The 19,812-nt window shown below is 44.5% G+C and overlaps 1 protein-coding gene across 16 annotated transcripts in view, besides 11 other annotated features; it reads right to left on the bottom strand.

Moving 5' to 3' along the window:
* The window catches only part of TET3 (tet methylcytosine dioxygenase 3), a 151,868-nt gene that overhangs the window by 94,844 nt on the left and 37,212 nt on the right, over positions 1-19,812 (bottom strand). The window lies entirely within an intron of this gene.
* Positions 7,768-7,913: a silencer, noted in NCBI's record as "fragment chr2:74259869-74260014 (GRCh37/hg19 assembly coordinates)". NCBI's record gives its function as "represses an EF-1alpha promoter that drives an FKBP-Casp9 reporter gene in an ReSE screen in HepG2 liver carcinoma cells {active_cell/tissue: HepG2}" and the evidence as "EXISTENCE:reporter gene assay evidence [ECO:0000049][PMID:32094911]".
* Positions 7,978-8,147: an enhancer, noted in NCBI's record as "active region_16044". NCBI's record gives its function as "activates an Ori minimal core promoter by ATAC-STARR-seq in GM12878 lymphoblastoid cells {active_cell/tissue: GM12878}" and the evidence as "EXISTENCE:reporter gene assay evidence [ECO:0000049][PMID:35858748]".
* Positions 8,218-8,317: an enhancer, noted in NCBI's record as "active region_16043". NCBI's record gives its function as "activates an Ori minimal core promoter by ATAC-STARR-seq in GM12878 lymphoblastoid cells {active_cell/tissue: GM12878}" and the evidence as "EXISTENCE:reporter gene assay evidence [ECO:0000049][PMID:35858748]".
* Positions 8,890-9,389: an enhancer, noted in NCBI's record as "H3K4me1 hESC enhancer chr2:74258393-74258892 (GRCh37/hg19 assembly coordinates)". NCBI's record gives its function as "activates a minimal SCP1, AML or CMV promoter by ChIP-STARR-seq in primed H9 embryonic stem cells {active_cell/tissue: H9 hESC(primed)}" and the evidence as "EXISTENCE:reporter gene assay evidence [ECO:0000049][PMID:30033119]".
* Positions 9,390-9,891: an enhancer, noted in NCBI's record as "H3K4me1 hESC enhancer chr2:74257891-74258392 (GRCh37/hg19 assembly coordinates)". NCBI's record gives its function as "activates a minimal SCP1, AML or CMV promoter by ChIP-STARR-seq in primed H9 embryonic stem cells {active_cell/tissue: H9 hESC(primed)}" and the evidence as "EXISTENCE:reporter gene assay evidence [ECO:0000049][PMID:30033119]".
* Positions 13,218-14,095: an enhancer, noted in NCBI's record as "OCT4-NANOG-H3K27ac hESC enhancer chr2:74253687-74254564 (GRCh37/hg19 assembly coordinates)". NCBI's record gives its function as "activates a minimal SCP1, AML or CMV promoter by ChIP-STARR-seq in naive H9 embryonic stem cells {active_cell/tissue: H9 hESC(naive)}" and the evidence as "EXISTENCE:reporter gene assay evidence [ECO:0000049][PMID:30033119]".
* Positions 14,096-14,973: an enhancer, noted in NCBI's record as "OCT4-NANOG-H3K27ac-H3K4me1 hESC enhancer chr2:74252809-74253686 (GRCh37/hg19 assembly coordinates)". NCBI's record gives its function as "activates a minimal SCP1, AML or CMV promoter by ChIP-STARR-seq in naive H9 embryonic stem cells {active_cell/tissue: H9 hESC(naive)}" and the evidence as "EXISTENCE:reporter gene assay evidence [ECO:0000049][PMID:30033119]".
* Positions 18,834-19,333: an enhancer, noted in NCBI's record as "H3K4me1 hESC enhancer chr2:74248449-74248948 (GRCh37/hg19 assembly coordinates)". NCBI's record gives its function as "activates a minimal SCP1, AML or CMV promoter by ChIP-STARR-seq in naive H9 embryonic stem cells {active_cell/tissue: H9 hESC(naive)}" and the evidence as "EXISTENCE:reporter gene assay evidence [ECO:0000049][PMID:30033119]".
* Positions 18,834-19,334: a biological region, named in NCBI's record as "H3K4me1 hESC enhancer GRCh37_chr2:74248449-74248948".
* Positions 19,285-19,334: an enhancer, noted in NCBI's record as "active region_16042". NCBI's record gives its function as "activates an Ori minimal core promoter by ATAC-STARR-seq in GM12878 lymphoblastoid cells {active_cell/tissue: GM12878}" and the evidence as "EXISTENCE:reporter gene assay evidence [ECO:0000049][PMID:35858748]".
* Positions 19,515-19,594: a silencer, noted in NCBI's record as "silent region_11651". NCBI's record gives its function as "represses an Ori minimal core promoter by ATAC-STARR-seq in GM12878 lymphoblastoid cells {active_cell/tissue: GM12878}" and the evidence as "EXISTENCE:reporter gene assay evidence [ECO:0000049][PMID:35858748]".

Below are 19,812 nucleotides of genomic sequence, written 5' to 3'. Positions count from 1 at the left end.
CAGGTGTGAGCCCCCATGCCTGGTCTAAATGTCTGCTTTCTGTCTGGACTTCTCAACTACCCTCCAGCTAGCTCCAACCCCTAGACCATGCCGTAAGCCCACTGAGAGTCAGCTTGTCTAAAACAGAACTGAACTCTCCCTCCTGAGAGCAACTTTCCCAACTTTCCTATTTTTGCATTCACCAACATTCCCAACCCAAATGTTACCCATATTCTTCCAATGTGTGCAGTCATTGGATCCAAACAATTCTAAATGTGAACTGTCTCTCAATTTTATCTCCTCCCTTTCCATCCCTGCCTTCCCAATCTGGGTCCTTCTGTGTGTATGTTTTAATTGTCTCACCTGACAGTCGGTCCTTTAAGCAACTCTATGTATCCCCAAGCCCCCTCCCTGACCACACATATGTGTGCATGCACACACACCACACACACACTCTTCTCCACTCTACAATCTCTTGAACATACCCTCTCTTAAGACTCCCAGCCACCAACTTCATAACTCTTCCTCATTGTCCACCCTGGCTTCAATCTTCAGTTTAAGAATGCCATTCATATGCATCGAGTGCTTAATACGTGTGACATACTGTGTGTTCCAAAGATAGCCACAACATTCCCTCCATTCCACATGCTCTTCTTACTGTGTGACTTGGACATTTCCCCCATGGAGAGGTGGGGGTCTATGTTCCCTCCTCTTCAATCTGGGTGGGCTCGTGATAATAGAAGTGATGCTACATGACTTTCAAAGCTAGATCATAAAAGGCAATTCAGCTTCTGCCTGGTTCTCTTGGGATTCTCACTCTTGGAGCCCAGTCACCATGCTGTGAGGAAGCCCAGGCCATGTGGAGAGGCCACATGGAGGAGTCAGCTGACATTCCCAGCTGAGGTCCCAGCCAACAGCTGCCATCATCTGCCAAATGTGTGAGTGAAGGAGCCCTTCGAGGATTCCAGCCCAGTCATTAAGTTACCTCCAGCTTTTATGCCTTCCTAGCTGAGACCCTAAATATTAAGGAACATATAGAAGCTACCCATGCTGTTGTCACTTCTGACTTCCCAATCCACAGAATCCCTGGGCATAACAAAATGATTACTGTTTTATACTACTGTGTTTTGGGGTGATTTGTTGCCTGACAATAGACCAGACTATGTATTTCAGGACCCCAAAAAGTTTTAAGATGAAAAGGAAGAAAAAGGCCTATATATAAGTCAATGCCCTAAATCATATCAGTGCTGTGAAAGCAGTATCTACAGGGGCCTGTGGTGGCTCAGTATATACAGCTATCTGGGCAGGTGGGCAGGTGGGTGTCCAGGAAGGTTTTATCTCAAAGAAATCTCAGAGAGGCTGGAGAAAGTAGCAGGTATTTTGGAAGAAGGGGAAGAATTCTGCAGGAGTTCCAGATGGAAGGAATAGCATGTGAAAAGGCACAGAATCATAAGCCCTGGCAGGCTTGGAGATGCATAAGCTGTTGAGTGTATCTTGATCGCAAAGGCAGGGGAGGCAGGTGTGTGGACCACAGCCTGAATGCTACAGAGAGCAGATTTACATCTCAGGAGGGGCATTCAGGCATCTTGCAGAAGACAGACTGCAGGGTTCGAGGCTGGTGACCCAAAGACCAGTTAGGAGACTATGCAACTGTCCAGATTAGTAACAATAAGGACCTGAACTAAGGCACTAGCAGACAGATGGGGATGAAACGTGGTTATGGAGGTTAAGTGATTAAATTTAGCAGTGAGACAAGGAACAGAATCAATCCCTCCCTGAGAAAGTCCTCCTTGACCAGTCCTTTCCACCACAGGCTGCCCCAGAGCCTACAGTTACCGTGCACAGCCACGTTCTGTTAGGGATCTTTTCGTAAGAGTGTATGGTCAACTACACCATTTGCTCCTAGGGAACCAGGCATCTGCCACACCTTCAAAACCTACCGGAGTCTCTAGAATGCATTCAAAAAGCTCTGTCACTGCTTCCTCCCTAGGGACCTGGCTGGTGCAAGCCTCATCACCCCTATACTTTGAGATGACCCATGGAAGCTCTAGGCAGAGTTGGTGATCTCTCTGCTATTATGGCACCCATTACAATGCACACATGGTAGAGGTCTGCAAAGGCTACAGGGGCCTCCAGAGAAGCCCAAGGTGCTAGTGCTGCACATCTTACTGCCAACTTCCAGGTGCAAACCCCTTTTCCCTGCCCTCGCTGGGTCCTCACACCCAACCCCATCAGGTTTCTTCCCTGCTTCACAATATCACTGAAAGGGGGTATGCCCATCCCAGGCTAGGTCTTCCCCAAGTTGGAGGTGTGTTCCCATCACCTAGGGGCAGCAGGAATTTGTTACTAGGAGACTGAGAGGCAGGAAACATTACTCAGGCAGAGAAAATGCCCTTCTCAGATCCAAGAAGAGACATAACTCTTCACTACACTCCATGAAGAGTTCATATGTGCATACAGCATCGCCAACCCCAGTCACATTTCCCACCTTCAGAGAGCTGGGGACCCTGTGCTGAAGGTGACCCTGCACCCCGCCTGGCTAGCTCACAAGGTCCCCTGCCTCCTCCTCTACAGTGCACTGTCTTCTTAGACTCCCAAATCCCCAGAGCTGGTCCTCCAGACATCTGCAGGCATTCAACAGCAGCACCCTGCTCTCCCCACCCAGGGGACTCCAGAGCCCCCCAGATGCCAGGCAAGGCTGGAAAAGTGTGGAACGCCACTCCCCAAACACCTCGTTCAGTCAACAACACAGTGAAGGATACAGATATGACACCAGGTTTCCCAAATCCTTCCTTACTCTCAACACATCAAAACCAGATCAGCAATTCTCTATTAAAGGAAAATAGGGAAGAGAGAAGACAAGAATGTTATCTTGAAAGAGCAAAGTCCTGATTGGCTATACCTTCTTAAGGCCTTTAAGAAAGGGGAAGTTACAAGAGGAACAGAGTCTGGAGGGCTGTTTTGCTGACTGTCAGCAGTTACACACCATATTAGAAGAACCATGTCCAAGAAGGTGTTTTTGGCCAGAATGAACTAGCCTGTAGTCAACCTTCAGAGCCCAGTAGCCCATTCTCTGCAAAGGAATCTCCTGAAGCGAATTCTCATGGGACTCCAAGATAGTGGTGGCAACACCCCACCCTGCTAAGCCAGTAAACTCCACCCAGTACTTTCCCAACCACACATACCACCAGCTCAGCTACTCTGATCCACAGCAGCTGTTCAAGGGGCTGCTCTTTCCAGCCTCATCCTTTATCTCAGTCCTAGAGTTCAGAATCCACCTCCTTACAAAGCTAATTCCTTCTTCCTTGCCACCAAATGGATGGCCCCACTCTCTCTAATAGCAAATGGGTTGTATTTATGGCATGTTCTGTCTAGGGTTGATCAATTATTCATTTCTTAAGAGGATTCTCCCTTCGGAAGATTTATTGATAAAACTAATAAGCGAGTGCAGAAAGAGAGTTTTAGGGGAACCCTTGCAGAGGAGGTGCACATCTGCCTGTTCTTGCAGAAGTGAGTGTGTGCCCATGGGCACACTGGCTAGCCCAGTCCCATGTCTGCACCCTCCATACCCAAACTGGCCACCTCTGCAGACAGCAACTCCAGGATTATGTCTAACTTCTTGAGAGCATTATACGTTGGCAGAGGGTATTCTTATATGGGGGGAGGGGGAGGCAGTTGTTCTTGTGGTTACTACATGCATACCAGTAAAACATTTTAAAATCTAATTTTTTTTCCTACTACAAAATGGGCAGATACAGCAAATCTGTCAGTGGCTGGGGTGATACTTAGAAAAAAGCTGAAATGGGCCTAATTCCCTGAGGTCATCATATCTGGCAGAAGCACAGGACTTTGTTCATGTCCTCTGACCTAACAGTAACTAATGTGGGTTCGAGGAAGAAAGGAAAAGAAGGAACCAGGAAAAGTCTCTACGTGACTCTGATGGAACCCTCTTATGACAGGCAGAGTATCATGCAAATTGTCGCACATTCACTTATCTCATTTAATCACCACAGGCTCCTCCAAGGTGGAGATCAGAGATAAGGACACTAAACACAGAGAGGGCAAGTAATTGCCTCAAGATCACAAGGCAATGTGGAAGAGCACAGCCATTTTTAACCACTAAGTACTCTTAATTTCACTGGAAATGTAAAAGTAAACAAGCCAACAGAAGACATAAAAAAGCTACATGTGCCAATGATTTTCCCTCAAGCATGAACAGCAGAGAATTACAAACAACCTGAGTGCCCCAACAATAGGGAGATGGTTTTAAATTTTATATTTCTTCTTCATGAAAAGGGAATAAACATATGAAAAAATACTCAGTATCATCAGTAATCAGAAAAATACAAAAGAAGATCACAAGAAGATTCCATTTTACACCTATTACGTAGGACTGAAGAGGAAGAACATTTAGTTTGAATCGTGGCCCCACCACTTACTAGCTGTGTGACCATAAGCAAGTTAGCTAATCTCTCTGCGCCTCTGTTTTGTCACCTGTAAATTGGGGATGAGTAACAGTACCTATCTCACAAGATTATTATGAAAATTAAACAATATATGAAGAGCATTTATAACAGTACCAGGTACATAGTAAGCACCGCGAGAGGGTATTTTAGTTTAATACCAAGTGCCGACGGGGTTTAGCAAGAACTTTTTTTTGAGACAGAGTCTCACTCTGTCGCCCAGGCTGGAGTGCAGTGGTGGGATCTTGGCTCATTGAAACCTCTGCCTCCCGGGCTCAATGATTCTTGTACCTCAGTCTCCCAAGTAGCTGGGACTACAGGCGCACAACATCACACCCAGCTTGCTTGCTTATTTATTTATTTAGTAGAGAAGGGGTTTCATTATGTTGGTCAGGCTAGTCTCAAACTCCTGGCCTCAAGGGATCCACCCACCTCGGCCTCCCAAAGTGTTGGGATTACAGGCAGGAGCCACCACATACTTTTTTTGAAACAGAGTCTCACTCTGTCGCCCAGGCTGGAGTGCAATGGCACGATCTCGGCTCAATGCAACCTCCACCTCCTGGGCTCAAGTGATTCTCTTGCCTCAGCCTCCCGAGTAGCTGGGATTACAGGCGCCCACCACCATGCCCAGCTCATTTTTGTATTTTTAGTAGAGACAGGGTTTCACCATGTTGGTCAAGCTGCTTTCAAACTCCTGACCTCAAACCACCATGCCCGGCCCCAATAACTACATTTTTTTTTTTCTTTTTGAGATGGAGTCTTGCTCTGTTGCCCAGGCTGGAGTGCAGTGGCGCGATCTCGGCTCACTGCAAGCTCCGCCTCCCAGGTTCACGCCATTCTCCTGCCTCAGCCTCCCGAGTAGCTGGGATTACAGGTGCCCACCACCATGCCCAGCTCATTTTTGTATTTTTAGTAGAGACAGGGTTTCACCATGTTGGCCAGGCTGGTTTTGAACTCCTGACCTCAAACCACCATGCCCGGCCCCAATAACTTTTTTTTTTTTTTTTTTTTGAGACGGAGTCTCACTCTGTTGCCCAGGCTGGAGTGCAGTGGCGCGATCTTGGCTCACTGCAAGCTCCGCCTCCCAGGTTCACACCATTCTCCTGCCTCAGCCTCCCGAATAGCTGGGACTACAGGCGCCCGCCACCATACCTGGCTGATTTTTTTTTTTTTTTTGTATTTTTTAGTAGAGACAGGGTTTCACCATGTTAACCAGGATGGTCTTGGTCTACTGACCTCGTGATCTGCTTGCCTCAGCCTCCTAAAGTGCTGGGATTACAGGCATAGCCACTGCGCCCGGCCCTCAACAACCACTTCTTATACCTCACTGGCAGGAAGGCAAAACAGAACAAATACTTTGAAAAGGTTTGTGGTGCTACCTTTTAATGTCAAACATGCACATCTCCTACAGCCCAGCAATCCGACTCCTAGGAAAGCTTTGTACACATGCATCAGGAGACATGTACAGAAATTTTCATGGCAGCATTACTCATAAAAATCACATCATGGAAGTATTTCTAAAGGAGCATAAACTACAGAATGGACAATGGAATATTATAGAGCAGTGTCAATGAATGAGCCACAGGAACATCAATGAATCCCAGAATCTACAACAGGGTTTTTTTTTTTTTTTTTTTAATCAATGCTCGAGGACTACATATGTCCTACTGAGTCTACAAACCTCAAACAAGCAAGCAAAATTAAATGTATTGTACAGAAATGCAAACTTATATAATGAAGACTTTAAAAAGCAAGGGAATGATAACAAAATTCAAGGTAATGGTTACCTCTGGAGGTGAAGAAGGGAGATAGGGCTGGGGGAAAACACCCAGGTAATTTCAATGATGTTGGCAATATTCCAGCTAACTTGGGGAACTGGCATGTGTTTATTATTATGCTTTATCTGTTTAACATATATAAAATACTAGGGTCAAGTATGGTTCAAGTAATACATAAAAAAAAAAACTATAATACAGCCATACCTTGTTTTATTGTGCTTCATTCTATTGTGTTTCACAGATACTGGGGGTGGTTTGTTGTTTTTTTTTTTTAATGACGAATTTAAGGTTTGTGGCAACCTCACATTGGGCAAGTCTCTTTTTCTTTTTTTTTCTCTGAGACAGAGTGTTGCTCTTGTTGCCCTGACTAAAGTGCAATGGCACGATCTCGGCTCACTGCAACCTCCGCCTCCTGGGTTCAAGCGATTCTCCTGCCTCAGCCTCCCAAGTAGCTAGGATTACAGGTGCCCACCACTATCCCTGGCTAATTTTTGTGTTTTTAGTAGAGATGGGATTTGGCCATGTTGGCCAGGCTGGTCTCGAATTCCTGACCTCAGGTGATCCGCCCGCCTCAGCCTCCCAAAGTGCTGGGATTACAGGAGTGAGCCACCGTGCCCAGCCACATTGGGCAAATCTTACTGGTGTCATTTTCAATAGCATGTGCTTACTTTGTTAGCATTTTTTGGCAAAAATGTATTTTAAAATTAAGGTATGTACACATTTTTTTAGCCATAATACTATCACACACTTGCTAGACTACAATATAATGTAAACACAACTTTTACATGCACTGGGAAACCAAAAAGTTCACGTGACCAGCTGTACTGCCATATTCACTTTATTGCAGTGGTTTAGAGCTGGACCTGCAGTATCTCCAACGTATGCCTGTTTATAATATTTAATCAGTAGATGTACACAACTGCTTAAAATGATATGGAATAAGAACATAAAACTAAATGTATTAAATGAAAAAGTGAAACTTGAGAATGTACTTATTAAATGAATGCTTTCAGAAGGTTTTTATGATGGGGGAAGTACATAATATTTGAAATGGGGGAAAAAATAGGATTCAAAATATTGCCCAATTTAACAGTTCAATTCAATCACAACGCATGCCTGTGTAAACACACAAAACAGCAAGGGGAATCATACAGAAATGTTAACAGTGCTTATCCTCTGCGTGATAGAGGATGAGTAACTTTCTCGTTTATAGTTTCCAAAATTTATCATAGGTATTTTCATTTTTATTTAGGGGAAAAAGATTTAAGAATAGAACACCTATAAAACACCTGAAACTGCAAACTACACATGTCTGTGAACGAGACGAGAAGGGAGCAGTCAGGGAAAATTTCTGGGTATTTTTTGTGCTATTTCTGTTGCTAGAGAGCTGTACGCAGTTATAACACAGAGGCAGATCACACATAATGCAGAAAGAAAATGAAGAAAATTTCTAAGAGATGAGACGCACTGGAAGGTGAAGATAAGCCTAGTTGAGATGGGGTGCCAAGCCTGAAACTCCCACCCATTAAAAGTTCTATGTAACTAACTTGCTGTTCTCGGACCAGAACTCCAAAATATAGCCCTGCAACTCTAACCTATGCAAAGTTATCGCCTGGGCAGCACACGCTCCCCTGCAGCAGGTGGGGGTGAAGGGGGAGCACAGCTGCTGGCTGCTCTGCAGGCTCCCCATGCCCCACCCCTAGCCTCTTGATCTGCGGCCCAGAGCAGGATCCAGCTCTCCTGACGGAAGCCCCTGCCTCAAGCAGCCGGTGGACAGAGGCCAGCCGGGAGGAAATCGAGCCTAACCACATCTGAGGCCTGGCAAAAAGCAGCAGCAGCTGCTCTGAAGCTGCCAGCACACAAGAACCAGGTCATGACGCGGAGGCAGCTCCTCAGCCAGACCCAGCAAGGGCCTCAACTCCCCTAACACACACACACACACACACACACACACACACACACACACACACACACACACACACAGAGACACACCCCTCTTGCAGCCGCTGGGGCCATCGCCCAAGCCCCATGGTGCACGTCCCATGGCCAGAAAAGCCCCCATCAGTTCCCAGCGAGGCAGGGCATTCTCACAACTCCTCCCACCCAACAGCACAGATCTACTCCTCATCACCCACACCTCCTACCCCAAAAGTCTAATAGGCTAAAGAAACAGAAAGCATGCATTGCTAACACCACAGTCCCCCGCAGAGCCAGTCCTTCACTAAAGGCTCCATGTACTTTCCCTAAAGAAGCCCCCAATCCCTCAAAACCCACTGACAGCTCAGGTGTGTCAAAGGGGCCAGGTTTAGAGAAGGAGGACAGCAGCCCACAGTTTTGAGTGCTGAGTGCAAACTTTAAATAAGCACCTTTACGTTTAAATGTAACCTTTCTATTCTTCCAACAATTCCACATCCATTTTAGTAGATGAGGTACAGAGAGGATAACTAACATACTCCAAAGCTCAGAATTGGTGAGTGGCAAAGTAGAATCCAACATCAGAGTCAATAGTGGATGCCCATGGCCTCCCAGGTACCAAGGTTCTAATCATTCTTTTGGAGAATGAGCTCCCACATGTGCCTCAATAAATATTCATGGATTTCAGCTTTTCACAGGAATCCCTGTGTGTTTGCCCCCACTCAATCCTTTCTGAAGGACTTAAGACCTAAGTTTTTCATTCAAAGAAATAAATCTTTAAGTGACCACCCAAAAATCTAGAGGAAAATTAATTTTTGGCAGAGGGTATCCACCTACCAGCCACAAGATCAACTTCACAGAGTAGGCTAGGAAATGCCATTTAGGGAAGCCTGCTGCTGTCCAGAAGGCAGGAAATTGGGGAGCACAAATTAATCCTCTTTATCCTAAACTTCAACTCCTGGAAAAGTCACACAACTCATCTTAGTGTGTAAAGCTTCATTATCCACAGTCACTACTCGTTTATTAGCCCAGATAACTGAAAGATGCCAGTAATCTGGGTTTGCACATGTTCATCTGAAAGGCCTGGGTGCAATGCTGGAGAAACAGAACAGGAACCTAGGCATTTGCGCAACCATTATCTGTTTCTGAGAGTCGGGGTGATGAGGAAGGCCACGGGGGTCCCTCGTCTCTCTGGCCTGTCTGTGGCAGCAGATCACCCACTCACCTGCCCACCCTGGGTTTCCGTGACCCTGCCGGTTACTGGTCCTCCTCCATTCTCCTTTTCCTCCTCCGTCCCCTCAACAGAGCTGTTCTCCACTCTCCTGCCCTCACTGCTCTCCATCGCCCCATGCTCCCCTCAGAAGCCTCCCCTCCAATCAAGGCCCCACCGCTCAGCCTGCACCAACAGCCCCAAAGTTTCCTTTTTCCTTGACTGCTTTCCAGCTACCAGACACACTTCCACTTGAATGCAACTTAAGCCCATCACATTTACAACTTAACTCAGCGCCTGCATCCTTTTCCTCAGCAACTCCCCCCCGGACATCCCTTTACAAAAAAAAATCACGTTAAGATCCATTCCCCTGGGCATCCTGGCTAAACCCTTCCATCCCCTCTGATGTCCTCTTGATGTTTCCATATGCAAGCAAACCCTAGTCCTGCCAACTGCTCCTGTAGAGCATTTCAGATCTGCCTTCTTTTTGTTTTCTCCTCATTTATCTCTCACAAGGACAAACTCAGGAGGTGGCTCCTTGACTGGCCCCCTGCCTCTGCTTCCACCCCAGAACACTACTGTTGGACTCATATTCAACCCACTGAGCCTTGAACCCCCATCACCCAGCTCCCAGGCCAGGGTGCCTTCTAATTCACAACTTACAACTTCTGTCTTGGTTCAAACAGTAAAAATAAATAAGTAAATAAATCTGTAGATAAGCAAATAAATGAACACATGAACAAATGTTATCAAGAGCAATAAAGACTACTTCCATCAAGCAGTGCTATTCCTAGAAACTTGAGCTTATAAGTTTGCATTAAAAAAAATCTTTCCACACATTAGTGAAAGCTGAAAACTCAGTATGAGGGGCTTGGTTTGGTAAACTATGATACAATTCAACAGAGTATTATACACTCATCTAAACCTGCAATTATAAACACTAAGGAAAAAAGCTAGATGAAATAGGAAGAATAGCAGAATACCATACTGTATGAAGTTTAGACTGCCAACTATGTAAAACCAAGCACACAAATGAGAAAACTAGGTAGTTTTTTTAAAAAGTGAAAATAAGTATTTGCAGCCCACAGAATTATGAGATGTCACTCACTGATGCTATCAGCACATCATAACAACCATTCCTTTCCTATATGCATACATAATTATGTATTCATTCATTTATCTCTCAAACAAATATACATTCCGCATCACTTCTTTGTGGATAGAGTAGTGAACAAACAGAGTCCTTTCTCTTGGATAGGGACTTTTTAGACGTTTGATTTTGTCTTAGATCCTATTCAAAGGCAAGTTCCTTTAGGAACTGATACTGTACCACTATCACTAACATGTGCAGGGCAACATAAACCCATGTTACATACATACTCTGTGGTTTTGAGTATGTGATGAAAGCAATGAAAACTGATATTAACAGTGACTTTATCTCCAAGTGAAGCTGCCACTAGTGTAGTTACTGACAGGATATCAAAGGCATACTACAAACTCATTATAGAGCCAGAGAAAACCCTGGTGGATGATCCAAGAGAATAAAGAGAGGTCATAGGCATAGAATAAGGAACAGAAAGGACAGCTTCAGTAGAAGTTGCTGAGAGAGACAGAACAAGAGGTTCTTTTCACTGTGGAGAATAAAAAAGATGTAAAAATCTCCCACTGCCTAAAGATGACTATAGTTTGTATTTGGTATCTTTTTTAACTATGCAACATACACTTAATTTACAAAACTGGGATGACTGAGTATATCAGTGGTTTTTTCTCATATGCTAATTTCTTCCCTAACTGTATAAACATTTTCCTATATTGTTAACTATTCTTCAAGAATTTCATTTTTAATAGCTGTACTGTTTTCTCTGGCATGTATATAGCACACACAGGGCCCCGGAGGCTGAATCTCTAGGTTTTCTCCTGTTTGCTATATTCCCAAGGGACGTATTGACTGTTGGAATAGTGTCTTTCCTCCTCCTTCCATGTCTATTTGGGCTTATTATTCCCTTGAGAACAGGGATGGCAACTTGGCACTAAAGGCTGAATGGATGGATTCTACTCAACCTTGAAGGCTGTAGGAAGCAACCTTGATAACAACAGGTAGGGGTAGGATTTTACTCACATTAGTACAAGGGCTTCATCTTATTTGGGTGACTACAAATATAAAAGGTACGTGTCTAGTAAGCCTTTGGGGACAACTGCCCCTTTCAAGATTGGAGGAGAAGCAGTAGTAACACTAGTATTTGCTGTTCCAGTACCCCAAGGTAACAATCATGAGACCCCCTAAGGCCCATGGTTCTACAAACACTGGTTGAAGACATGCCCAGCAAGAGATAAGCAGATTGAGCATGGCCAGCTGAGTCTTGGCCAGGACTCCTGTAAGTGTGATCTATGGACTAGCACTATTCTGCTATCTCCATTAGTCTGTGACAAGGTAAATACAAAAGCTAAGAGTGTTAACTTTAGACACTTGTATCACAATTTGACATTGTCATGGCATCTAAGCACATGATCATTTTTCTAGTAATTCATTCTTATTTTTACAAAATTATCAGTCCATGAATTAGAAATTTTTAAAACTTAGTCCTTCACCAGAAATTTTGAAGATAACTGATGTACATCATGTAAATGTTAATACCAAACAATACATGCAAGTAACCAATAAAAAAGCTATAAAGACCAATCTAGCTCTCTCATCTACTATAAACATCTACAAAACAGTGAGAAGACACTAAGATAATTAAATGGGAAAAGAACAGTCTTTTAATTGGGACAACTGGTTATCCAGTTGCAACAGCATGTGAACCCCTGCCTCACACCATATACAAAAACTCACTCAAAATGGATCAAAGACCCAAGTGTAAGAACTAAAACTATAAAACTCTAAAACAGACATAAATATTTATTATCTTGGATTAGGCAGAACTTTCTCAGATATGAGACCAAAAGAAAAAAGATAAACTGTACTTCATCAAAATTAAAAACTTTTGAGTTTCAAAGGACACCATCAAGAAAGTGAAAAAAAAAACGGCTAGGCATGGTAACTCAAATCTGTAATTCCAGCACTTTGGGTGGCTGAAGAATTGCTTGATGCCAGGAGTCTGAGACCAGCCCAGGCAACAAAGCAAGACCCCTGCTCTACATAATTTTTTTTTTAAAATTAGGCAGGCATGGTGGTGGCACACATCTGTAGTCCTAGCTACTTGGGAGGCTGAGGCAGGAGGATCCCCTGAGCCCAGGGGTTCCAGGTGCAGTGAGCCATGATCACTCCACTGCACTCTAGCCCAGATGACAGAGTAAGACCCTGCCTCTTAAAAAAAAAGTGAAAAAAACCCACACAATGGGAAAAAAATTTATAAATCATATACATATATACATATAATCATATTCAAGGAACTCATATAGAAGAGATAACAAACTCTTACAACCCCTTAACCAAAAAACCCCAATTTTAAAATGGGCATGTTCACACAAAAACGTGTATATAAATGTTCATAGCAGCATTATTCATAACAGCCCAAAGTGAAAATAACCTACATGTCCAGTGACTAAAGAATGGATAAACAAAATGTGGTCTGTGCATACAATGGAATATTATGCAGTCATGAAAAGGAATAAAGTATTGACACAGGCTACAACATGGATGAACCTTGAAAATGTTATGCTAAGTCAGCCAGACACTAAAGATATATACTATAACATTCCATTTATATGAAATGCATGGATTGGGTAAATCCACAGAGACAGAAAGATAAGTGGTTGCCAGGGGCTGAGGGGGTTAGGGGAACAAAGAGGAGTGAATGCTATTTGCCACAGGGTTTCTTTTAGGGATGGATAAAAATTTTGTGAACTAAGAGAGTGGTGTTGGTTGCACAATCCTGACTACACTAAAACCACTGAATTATACACTGCCAATGGGTGAACTGTATATGATTTATATCTCAATAAAACTGTAATTTCAAAAAAAAAAAAAAAAGTCACTTCTCATCACCCACCTTCTACCCCGAAAGTCTAAAAGGCTAAGAAAACGAGAAAGCACACATTGATCCTTCATCTGCATCTCCATAAGCAGCTTTGAGGCAAAAGCAGAAACTGAACACAAGCTCAAGGAGGGTGGGTGAGCCAGTGAGCTCACCCTCAAACAATGGTTGGGAGACAGGGACAGAGGAAAGGGAAAGGCAAGAGTGTCGTGCAATTCATTCTCTGCAACTCGTTCATCAGCATTTCTCTCTCCTTTTATTTCCCTACTGGGTTACAAGTGAAAGTGAAAACAGGAGGGTCTTATCTCAGGGAAAGTAGTGGTGGTCCCTTTTCCGTCAAAGAAAGATGGGAAGAATACCTCCCACGTCACTGCAGGGGACAGTAGGAGTGGTGGCAACTCTTGAGTGGGGAGAAAAGCAAGCTGGGACAGCCCTGAGCTCTGGGTTGGGGAAGAGAGAGATGAGCTCTGGAAATGCATGGGCAGGGGGCCTGGAAATGAGAACCACTGACTTAAAACCAGCTGATTCCCTGGGTAGAGTCACAGATAACTAGAAAACAGGAAATGGAACTTGGTTCAAAGGCCCTTAGAATTAAAAAAAAAAAAAAAGTTGGAGGGGAAGTTTGCGAGCGATTCAATAAAATAAAAATAAGTGAGACAAAGAATGCATAATATGCAATAAGCATGACCTTAAAAAGCTAAATGCAAATCATTTGTTAAAAAACAAATCATGTTTTTAATATCTATTATACAAGGGAGTTCTGCTACTAAAAGATAACCTAACAGTCAATTATCTGTTAAGCACTGCCCTTGTAATGCAAATAACCACTCTGGAACCTCCTTAGGTCCGAGAACAGGCAACCTGCTCCCTCTGGCTCACCCTCGGGACATACCTCAGTTGGGACACACACCTCTGACTGGGGATTAACAATCCCCGGCCACTGGCCTCAAAGTTTTGGGGTGGGGGAGAGGGGGGTGACAGGGGTGTTAAAACCCACATCCCCAAACCGAGGGTGTTACTCTTCAGAAAGCAGCGGCTGGGCCCTACCCAAGGCAGTGATCTCTGTTCCTCAGCCCTGATCTCAGGGAGAGGCAGTGGCAGACCAGTGTCAAAGTCCCTCTCTCCCCCCAGCGATGGCCTCCATCCCAGGCTAACACCAAACCAGCCAGGGAATGGGTGGGGTAGGGTGGGGTGGGATGCTGTGGCCTGGTATTACAGAGGGGCAAAGGGGAGAGCAGAAGGCAGCTTCCTGGGGAGCTGGGCCCTGCCCCACCTCTCTGCCTTAGGCTTTGCTGATGACACACAACTAGGAGCTGAGTGTTCCCTGGGAGCTATGAGGACAAGGAGTCAGCTTCCTCATGTGCTTAAAAACAATTATTATTATTATTTTTTTTTGGAGATGAGGTCTCACTCTGTCGCCCAAGCTGCTCTCAAACTCCTGGCCTCAGGTGATCCTCCTACCTTGGCCTCCCAAAGCACTGGGATTACAGGCATGAGCCACAGCGCCTGGCCAAAAACAATTCTTTAAAAATATCAGGAAAAACTGAGAATCTGCTCCAGATTAAAGGAGACTTAAACAAACAACAAACTGACCACTGGACACAGCATGTGATCTGGGGGGTTTCTCTTACAAGAGAGGTTGTAACGATTGGTAAAATTTAAGTAAGCCTAGGTTAGCTGGTATAATAATGCTGTATCCACATTAACTTCCTGATTTTGATGGCTCCTTTGTGGTTATTGACATGATTTTAGAAAACCTACATTCAGGCCGGGTGCGGTGGCTCACGCCTGTAATCCCAGCAGCGGATCACGACATCAGGAGATCGAGACCATCCTGGCTAACAAGGTGAAACCCCGTCTCTACTGAAAATACAAAAAATTAGCCGGGCGTGGTGGTGGGTGCCTGTGGTCCCAGCTACTCGGAGGCTGAGGCAGGAGAATGGCGTGAAGCCGGGAGGCAGAGCTTGCAGTGAGCCGAGATCGCGCCACTGCACTCCAGCCTGGGCAACAGAGCGAGACTCCATCTCAAAAAAAAAAACAAAAACCTACATTTGACTATTTAGTAGTAAAGGACATCAGTTTTGCTACTTACTTTTTTTTTTTTTTTTTTGAGGCGGAGTCTCGCTTTGTCACCCAGGCTGGAGTGCAGTAGCACAATCTCGGCTCACTGCAAGCTCCGCCTCCCGGGTTCACGCCATTCTCCTGCCTCAGCCTCCTGAGCAGCTGGGACCACAGGCACCCGCCACCACGCCCGGCTAACTTTTTTGTATTTTTAGTAGAGACGGGGTTTCACTGTGTTAGCCAGGATGGTCTTGATCTCCTGACTTCATGATCCACCCGCCTCGGCCTCCCAAAGTGCTGGGATTACAGGCGTGAGCCACCACCACGGCGCCTGGCCTGCTACTTACTTTCAAATGGTTCAAATACAAATTACAGAGAAAGAAAAGGATAAAGCAAATGTAGTAAAATATTAACATTTAGGTATCCAAGTGAAGAGAATTCTTTGTACTATTCCTGCAACTTTTGTAAAACTCTGAAATTATGCCGAAATAAAAAATATTTTTTAAAAGAGTGATGTTTACTGTATGGTATCTATGGCTTTTCTAGTTTCTGTGAAAAGGTAACATTCCCCAAATCTTACAACGAGGAACAGGAAACGGTGAAACAAGCAGTCACTGACAAATGGCTGGTTGGAGGCAGGAGGGGCTCCAGAACTCAAGTTCTCTGACTTAATCCCATCCCCCTTCCACCAGCCCTCAGCTCATCTAACACTGAGGGACACTGAGCCCCAGACACCACCCTGGGTACCGGATGACCACCGCAGAGCAGAGGGCAAGGAAGAAGGGGGCCGCCTGGATGGTCTCCAGGCTGGGCAACAGCCTGAAGAGGCAAGGCTGACAGGAGAAACAGAGTGCCTGGGAACAGGGTCCACCCTCTCTCCTCCCAAGACCCCTTCCCTCCACACACAGAGGGCACAGACAGCCCCTGTCATGTGCATGCCAGAGGGCCAACTCAAAGTTTCAGCAACACACCTGCACAAGTTCCAACCATGAGCATACAAGACCATGCAGAGCACAGACTCACAGACTGGTCTGCAAACGAGTAGGGCCCTGGGAAGGCAGCCTTCAAGCCCTTGCTAACTGAAAGGAATACAACATCTGGAAATCCTAAGCAAGTCTCCTAAATAACTCCAGGATGAAGGAAAAAAATAAAGTCACACACAACTACATATCTAAAGATTAAATATCAGTGAGAACAGTATCTATTAGAAAAATTCATGTTTTCATAAATAGTTTTACTAAATGAGAAAAAAGTAATTGAGGCTTCAATCCAAGAAGCTAGAAAATAAAAACAAAGAAAGGTAGGAAAAACTGAATCAGGAGGGATAAAGACAGAAATAGTGGATTAGAAAACAAAATGTAGTGGTATTTATAAATGAATCCAAGAGATGACTCTCCTGAAAACCAATAAAACAAACAAACCTCTGACAAGACTGGTTATTTTAAAAAGAAAAAAACAAATATTAGAAATATAAAAGGAATATAACCACCATCTGTGAAATGCTTTACTAAAAACTTTGAAAACATGAATTAAAGAACAATTTTCTAGGAAAACATATTCAAGAAGTCATAGAAATACTGATAATATCAATCACCAGAGCCACTGGGAGCCACTGTCTGGAAGTCACCAACCAGATGTGGCCAAGCTAGGCTCAGTCCCACAGCCTAAAGTCTCTGGATTAAGGTGCAGAAAAACTCTGAGTTCCAAAATGCTCCTGAAAATCATAACTAAACTGTGCGCTGTGGCTCACACCTGTAATCTCAGCACTTTGGGAGGCCGAGGGAGGACGATCACTTGAGTCCAGGAGTTTAAGACCAGCTCAGGCAACACAGTGAGACCCCATCATTACGAAAAATAGAAAAATTAGCTGGGTGTGATGGCGCACACCTGTAGTCCCAGCTACTCAGGAGGCTGAGGCAGGAGGAGTGATTGTGCCCAGGAGGTGGAGGCTGCAGTGAGCCATGATCGCAGCACCGCTGCACTCCAGCCTACGTGACACAGCAAGACCTTGTCTCGAAATTAAATAAAAATAAAAATAAATCAAACTACATATCTGAAAATTAATTAATATCAATGCTGATGAGGTACCTCTGATGGTCACCCAGGTTTGGAAACTCCTGGCCCCTTGCTACTCAAAAATGTGGTCCAAGGAACAGCAGCATCAACATGACCTCAGAGGTTAAAAAATGCAGAATAAGGCCGTGCGCAGTGGCTCACGTTTGTAATCCCAGCACTTTGGGAGGCAGAGGTCAACAGATCACTTGAGGTCAGGAGTTCAAGACCAGCCTGGTCAATTTGGTGAAACCCCATCTCCACAAAAAATACAAAAATTAGCCAGGCGTGATGGCGAGTGCCTGTAGTCCCAGCTACTTGGGAGGCTGAGGCATGAGAATCGCTTGAACTGGGAGGTGGAGGTTGCGGTGAGCCAAGATCATGCCACTGCACTCCAGCCTAGGCGACAGAGCAAGACTCTTATCTCAAAAAAATAAAAAAAATAAAAAGCAGACTCTCAGCCTCATCTCAGACTCACTGAATTTGAAAATGCATTGTAGTAAGAATCCCAGGTTATCTGGATGAAGAAGATAAAGTGGAGAAGCACTGGTCTGGCCTATACCTGCCTAATTGCCCCTCAATTCCTCTTAATTTGCAAAAGCAGTGCCTGTTCTGTGTTCTGTCTGGCACAACCAAAAGAAAAAAAAATAATAAACCGATTAACTACTGGAGCTAGATTTGATCACACAAGCATGTAAAAAAAAAAAAGTTTGGCAAAAAACAAAACAAACAAAAAAAAACCCTCCAGCCGGGGCAACAGAGTGAGACTCTGTCTCAAGAAACAAAAAAACAAAAAACAAACAAAAAACCCCCCAAACATACATTAAAAGAAATTTGCAATACTTGCCAAAGCATGATAAAGAGTTAATACCACTAATACATGAAGCTGTCTTACCATTCATAAAAAAAGCATACACAAAAAATAAAGGAAATAAAAATATATTCACAAAGAAAAAAGATCACAACTAAACATAGCAAGGAAAGATTTGCAAATCAAACATTTTGCACTCATTTTTATGCCAATCAGAAAAGAAATAGTTTTACAATAAACATGTATTATTTTGACAATCCCAGAGGGAAAAGACCAGAAACATTTAAAATGGAAAAAAAAAAAAAAAAAAAAAAAGTGTCCTAGAAAGACTGAAATAGTAACAGGAGTTCTCTCTGAGTAGAAAAATTATGGACTTTTTTATTTTTCTCTATCTGCTTATCTGAACTTTCTGATTTTTCTACAGTGAATTTTTATTCTTTGTAATAGACAATGGCAAAAAAAAGTTTTAACTATTTCCTAGAGTTTGATCATATCTGAAATGTCTTCCTGTGTTTTCACAAGTGTTTGCATAGCACCTGGCCTTTTCACAAACCATCATGGCATTTAAAGGCATATCTTTTCAGTCCTGATCAAGTACTGGAAGCCCCAAACAGGCAGCCTCTTTTGTTAACATTAGTTCACAGGCCAGCAGTTCTCAAACTCCATTGGGCGTGGGAATCACCTGTAGGAAGCTGGTTATGGATGCAGATTCCCAGGTCCCACCAGAGATCAACGCTGCCTGACCATGGAAGGGATTCTGACCCAGGTGGCCCCTGAACGACCTTTTGAGAACCCCTTCCCATAATCCTATGGGGTTGAGGGTGAGTGCAGATGAGGGGAAGGCCTCGGCTGGTTCAGAAACCAGGTGAACTGAGGTTCTTACAGGCTGACCAGGGACAGTAGTCTCTTCCCACCTCCCATATGCACATGCAGGCCTGGCCATTCAGTGGTCAGTGCTGATGCTCTCTGAAACGCCAAAACATGGATGGAGGTGGCAGTGTAGAAACAGACTTTGTCCAACGGGTGGGCTAAAGCCCTAGGCAGCCCTGCATCGTGGCCTCACTGCCAGAATGCGCTCTGCTCTGTAAGGAGGCATCTGGAACAGCTCCATCGGTTCATGGAGGTCCATCTGTCAGAGTCTCTGCTCAGCACCCTGAGAAAGCAGCTCCTCCAGAGCTGGCAGAGATGCAGCTGTGGATGCAGCTGGGGCCTCATGGGGAGCCTCAGGGCCACCTGGCTGGGGAGACTCAGAGGCCCCAGGTGGGCACTGGGAGATGAAGTAAGAAACCAACAGCAGGGGATAGGGGCAGATAGAGCAATACTTCCAGATCTTTTCCCCAATCCAGTATTTCTTGAGTGTCCTCTTGGTTCCAATGTTTCCCAGGGATTAAAACAAACCAGCAGAGGAGCCAGAGAAGCATTTCTATGTCCTCTGCCACCCTGAGCATGGGAGATGAGTGAGTGGGAAGGGGAGGGTGAGCACAGACCACGGGATAAATGAGGAACAGCTTACTGCTGCGGTCAAGCAAAACCCAGGGAAACCCCGGGACACGCTGAACCAGATGCA

Source organism: Homo sapiens, chromosome 2 (assembly GCF_000001405.40).
Source record: "Homo sapiens chromosome 2, GRCh38.p14 Primary Assembly".
NCBI lineage: Eukaryota > Metazoa > Chordata > Mammalia > Primates > Hominidae > Homo > Homo sapiens.
The sequence above is the reverse complement of the archived record's forward strand: the minus strand, read 5'-3'. Positions and strand labels throughout refer to the sequence as shown.